Raw genomic sequence first — 6,000 nt, 5'->3', positions numbered from 1 at the left:
TATTAAAAAAAAATGAAATAACCAACAATCTTAGCCGGATATAAGGCAAAACAAAATGAGGTAATCTCGGGTATTATGAAGTTTTAAAAGACACAACAAAGTTATGCACTGTTAGGAAATAATGATGACAGAGATGAATCCAGAAAATACAAAAAACAAACGGGTAGCTCCTTTTGCATGAAAAAAATAAAAAAAGAGAGAGAGAGTCAAAGAAGGAAACCTGAAAACAGAGTCAGACTGGAAACACTGTGGCCTAGGGGCTGTGTGGGTTATCATTCACCTCCTCCAGGAGAGAGCAGCAGAAGTAACATCCCTTTAAAGCAAAAGACACATACACAGCAACTAACCAAGACCCATAAATCCAATCACATATTCCCCAAGGTCAGCAACACACTGGATAGGAAAAATGAAAAGGACAATTCTAATGCTGTTTTTATTTAAAATTTTATTGAAACCCTCTTTCACCCGTTTACCACTTCCTAAGTAAAAATGCATGTAAACTCTGAGCCTGATGGTATTAGCTTCAAACTATTCCTTAAATACCTGAAAATGTGACTTTTGAAACTTGGGAAAGTGACGTTAGGACAAGGATCCATTTTACATGCCTGCTTCTTTGTTCATTCATGAGCAGAGCTAGACTAAGAAACCTTTCAATGAGAGGGAGAGCATGTATGCAGGAGTATAACTCTCTATTCTGAATTCTACCCTCGCTGGGCCCATGAAAGGTAAGGAACACTTTAGATAGGGTGGGGAAGGAGGTTTGGAAAACTTGTGATAAAGAGGAGTAAATTTTTCCTAAATTCTTAGTAAAACCTAACAGGTTACCCACAGAGTCCGTGTCTTAAGTTAATGCACTTATATAACTAGCATCAGAGTCTCCTTCAAGTGCCCTGTATATCTGTCATCAGTTTCCTCCTTCAAAGATTTCTCTTGTGTATACTACTATATAGTTAGCAAGGCCAGCTTTCCTTGCCTATGCCTATGACAAATTGGCTAGAATAATTTAGGGTTTTTGAATGCCATCTCTTAACTATATCTCATTGGAGGTGTCTGCATGTACGAGTGTGTGTGGTTTTTAACAGAATAACAAAATGCCTTAAGGCCCTTTAACGTGTTTTTAAAATCTACCTGTAGAACAAATCCTATGCATGCGAATGACCATGAATAGTTCCTCACATATTCAAGCTACGAATGTTTAAAGTATTACATAAATTTAGAAAATATTATCTAAAGGTATTTCCCATTAAATAAATCTAGAATATACTTAGTTCAAATATTTAGAAGGATTTAATTACTGTTACTCAAAACTACTCTGCTGTGAATTTGAGTATCACAATATAACTTTGCTCAGTTATTAAGTGGTTGATAGCTGTCCACCCTCTGCAGAAGTGTATCTGAATATCCAGGGGAATAATACCTGAAAAAGAAAATACACTATTAAATGCTGGTGAAACGATCAACACAGCAGGCACATAAGATTCAATATAGGGGATTTATCTGAAATAATCCTGTGAGTGAAATCTCAAATACACTCTGAATAATTATGCTCCAGTAATGCTTTGTGCATAAAGTTAGAGGCTATCCAGGAGGAAAATACGAATTCATAAAACTGTGCTACAGAAGTAGCAAAACATTTAAGGGATATAAATGTAATGGCAAAGGGGACATTTTCCAAACAAGAATCTTCAATCCACTGACAATATTTTATTACAGAGACTTCATTTTAATCACATCAAGTGGCTAATGTTGCTTTAAGGATCCTAGCTAATAGATTTTTTTTTTCATAAGTTAGACTACACAGTCTATTGTTACTAATCAACTTCTGCATTCTAACTGCCTTAGAGATCATTCTCAGCATGGGTTTTAATCAGATCTGGTCACCTAGGAAAACAAAAATTTCTGGAAGTATAATTCATATTGAAAAACTATTTAATAAAATATAATTTAGTATTGAAAAACTATTTACAAATACTTGTATCATAGAAACCTAGGAAATTAATCATTTTTACTATTAATAGTTCTTGGGCATCTATAGTACTATACATTTACATTCATAAATTGAACATTTTATACAAGATTTAGTATAAAAGTATTAAATATGTTGATCAGTGCATTGTGAGATGCTTAATACGTCATGGAAATAACTTACATGCAGATAAATGAATGTCAAATAAAATTTAGCAGGCATTCTAGAATAATTTTTTAAATCTATGGAAGTATAATTCAAAAATTCTCAAAACACTCAAAATAATTAAGCTTCTGAAGGCATTTTCTCCAGATAAAACCTAATATTAGAGACTTGCTTTGCCTTTTGTTAGTTATCTTTATCTATGCCCAGATGCTTGACCTAAAAACTCATAATTTATATTACACTAAAATTCCTTCCACAATTTATCAAGCTAAGGTGGACCAAAAAATACAGCCATATTTTCTTAGTAGTGAGTAGTGTGCTTACAGGCATCCATAGTTAAACAGCTACTTATGTACACACCCAAAAAGCTACCTTAAAGAATGTTTCTCCCCTAACAGCCTCTTACTCTTGAAAAAATTGTCTTTCAACAGTGGGTTTCTTCGAAGTATTCTTACACTGAGAAATTCACAACTGCTTCTTCTCTGAGTTAGTCAAAAATTTTAAAGCAGGCTTTACCTTCCTAGGCCTTCAAATGTATCGGACACCAGATAATATGAATTCAAGAGGTAGATTTTTAAATATCTTTAAAATTTTAACCTTTTAATTTAAATATTAATAAATTTTATATTTTAATGTAATAAATATTTAATTTACCATATTAACATATTAATATTTTACTTATTTAATAATATAGTATTCTTAGTATTGATATAATGATGTTATCATTGATATTAGATTAATAATAATTGTTATTACCATGTTAAATATGGGAGCCACCAGCTATATGTAGACTGAATGGGAGCCACCAGCTACTGAGGACTAGAAAAATGGCTGGTATGGGCCGGGTGCAGTGGCCCACACCTGTAATCCCAGCACTTTGGGAGGCTGAGGAGGGTGGAACACCTGAGGTCAGGAGTTCAAGACCAGCCTGACCAACATGGCGAAACCTCGTCCGTGCTAAAAATACAAAATTAGCTGGGCATGGTGGCGCATGCCTGTAATCCCAGCTACTCAGGAGGCTGAGGCAGGAGAATTGCTTGAACCCCAGAGGTGGCAGTTGCAGTGAGCCGAGATCACGCCATTGAACTCCAGTCTGGGCAACAAGAGTGAAACTCCGTCTCAAAAAAATTAATTAATTTAAGAAAATGGCTAGTATGTCTGTATTTAGATTACATAAAATTTGCAAGTGGTTCCAAACATATCTAAAAGTTTTCCAATAACTGAATCAAGTGTCAGTTTATAAATTTTAAATTCAATATTAAAAATTCAGTTTAACAGACATACTAGCCATTTTTCTAGTCCTCAGTAGCCACATGTAGCCCTTTGGCTAAGCATTTTCTCATTTAATTCTAACTATGAAATAGGTAATTATCTTTAACCACCTTGTACAGATGCAGAAACTGTGGCTAAAGGGGTTAACTATTACCTTCAAGGTAATAGTTAGTTATAGTAAGTAGTTATAACTGAGAGAGGAATTAAGGTCTGTTTGACACCTAAGCCTGAGCTCTTAGCGTACTCCTTCGGAAAGAACCAATATGAGCCTCCAGATAAGACCAGGAAATTCCTTCCCTCTGGCCAGCAACCACAGCTATCCCAACTTACCTCTAAATGTCCTTTAAGAATGTAAGCGAATTAACCTTATCCTAGACCCACAGAGAATTGGGGTTATTATTATATTGTTATGATACCAGAATTATGCTGAATGGCAGACTGTGTCCATGTCTCCCTCCCCAAATTAGATGTTGCCCCAAAGCTGCTTCCCCACCCCAGCTGAGGCAGAGATTTTGAAGAAAAAGGAATTCAAAAACACCTTATGGCTGTGGAGTAAGCCAGGCCCAGAACTTAGGTCTTCTAATGTCTAGTCCAGACCCCTTTCCTCTCATTTACCTACCTTTCTTCATTAAAAAAATTTAAAGATTACTAAATCGGAAGGCAGTATGAAATAAATATTTAGGTTAGTAACAGATGAATGTATCAGTTGATAAACTGTCTTACAAAGGATAATTAATTCTAAAATAGTTATCACCAAGTGATTCTTGAGAATTATGTAATTGTAAAAATGAAACTATTTTGAGATTATATTTGTCTATTTTTATAGAAAGACAACATTTCCAAGATTTCTATAAAATACGATTTTATAGAACCTAATGCTTTAAAACATAACTGAGGTTTTCCTACTTGCCCTGTGTGGGTGAAATATATATATATATATATATCAGAAATTTGAAAACATTAGTCAGGTAACCAAAATTCTTTATAATAATTAGCCAATTTTAAAAATGAAATCCCAGCCCACAGAATTGGGGAAGTGGAGAAGTTAAAAATTTACAATGGTATTTTGACAAAGCACTAGATTAATTTTTTTTTTTTGTGAGACGGAGTCTCCCTCTGTCACCCAGGCCGGAGTGCAGTGGCACAATCTCGGCTCACTGCAAGCTCCGCCTCCCAGGTTCACGCCATTCTCCTGCCTCAGCCTTCTGAGTAGCTGGGACTACAGGCGCCCGCCACCATGCCAGGCTAATTTTTTGTATTTTTAGTAGAGACGGGGTTTCACCGTGTTAGCCAGGACGGTCTCGATCTCCTGACCTCGTGATCCCCACGCCTCGGCCTCCCAAAGTGCTGAGATTACAGGCATGAGCCACTGAGCCTGGCCAGCACTAGATTAATTTCTAATGTGATGCAGTTTGTAGTTTTTCCTGGTGCTCAATTAAAATATGCCTTCAAAAAAGTGGAAAAAAAAAAAAACTTCTCTTCAATAAAGTACCTTACCATTGGTTGATTCTAATAGGTCATTCATTCTGGGGACACTTTAGTTCTTTTTTTTTTTTTTTTTTTTTTGCATCTTTCTGTAACTTTGTAACAAAATTGCATTGAAAGTTACCTTAAACTTATATAAAATACCATTCTTCGTGAAGGGACACATATTCCACGTATAAAAATTAATTTTGTTTTCTTCAAAAAAGATTTTAATATTTCCTTTATTTAACGGTTTTACACATTTTATGTTATACAAACTTTTAAAATATAAATTTGTGGCCGGGTATGGTGGCTCACACCTGTAATCCCAGCACTTTGGGAGGCCAAGGTGGGCGGATCACAAGGTCAAGAGATCTAGACCATCCTGGCCAACATGGTGAAACCCTGTCTCTACTAAAACTACAAAACATTAGCTGGGAGTGGTAGCGTGTGCCTGTAGTCCCAGCTACTTGGGAGGCTGAGGCAGGAGAATAGCTTGAACCCGGGAGGCGGAGATGGCAGTTGAGCCAAGATCGCGCTACTGCACTCCAGCCTGGAGACAGAGTGTTATATGTAGACTAATTATACATGTTATGATATATCACTGCTTTGATGTATCATATATATTAATATTTCAAAGCTTACCTATTGGAACTCTTTTGGTCAAGGAGTTCTCATAAACTTCCTAAAAAGTGCACAAACTTGCAACTCTGGAAAGAATTTACTGGGTAAAAATATGTGGATAGAAAACAAATTTTAATCTTAAAATTGCTTTTGTGCTTTTAAAATTAATGTTACCATACGTATTAAACACCATTGATATTAAACAGGAAGAATTAACAGACATGTTGCAACTTGCGTAAGTATATGTTACAGCATGTAAGTTTTAAAAATTAGAATTTATATTTTCCAATATTAATCAAAGAAAATAAGAAATAAATGTAGGATTAGAAAATACAGATAAATATGCCTTTATCCTGCATGCCTTGGGGGCATTTTTAAAGATTCAGTTGTTTGGCCGGGCGGTCGCGGTGGCTCACGCCTGTAATCCCAGCACTCTGGGAGGCCTAGGCGGGCGGATCACGACGTCAGGATATCGAGACCAACCTGGCTAACACGGTGAAACCCCGTCT

The 6,000-nt window shown here is 35.9% G+C and overlaps 1 protein-coding gene across 6 annotated transcripts in view; it reads right to left on the bottom strand.

Annotated features, from left to right (window-relative positions):
• Positions 1-425: 425 nt before the first annotated feature.
• The window catches only part of SPAG6 (sperm associated antigen 6), a 72,115-nt gene continuing 66,540 nt past the window's right edge, over positions 426-6,000 (bottom strand). For 5 of the 6 annotated variants that reach the window (NM_001253854.2, NM_012443.4, NM_172242.3 and 2 more), the window contains one exon: positions 426-1,417. In NM_001253854.2, the coding sequence (NP_001240783.1) occupies positions 1,348-1,417 (70 nt within the window). In that variant the 3' untranslated portion in view covers positions 426-1,347. Of the gene's footprint in view, positions 1,418-5,512; positions 5,592-6,000 lie in introns of all 6 variants that reach the window. The other variant, NM_001253855.2, reaches the window with a different exon arrangement.

This window comes from Homo sapiens, chromosome 10 (genome assembly GCF_000001405.40).
Source record: "Homo sapiens chromosome 10, GRCh38.p14 Primary Assembly".
NCBI classification, from domain to species: Eukaryota; Metazoa; Chordata; class Mammalia; order Primates; family Hominidae; genus Homo; species Homo sapiens.
Note: the sequence above shows the minus strand (reverse complement) of the source record. Positions and strands in the feature narration are given on the sequence as shown.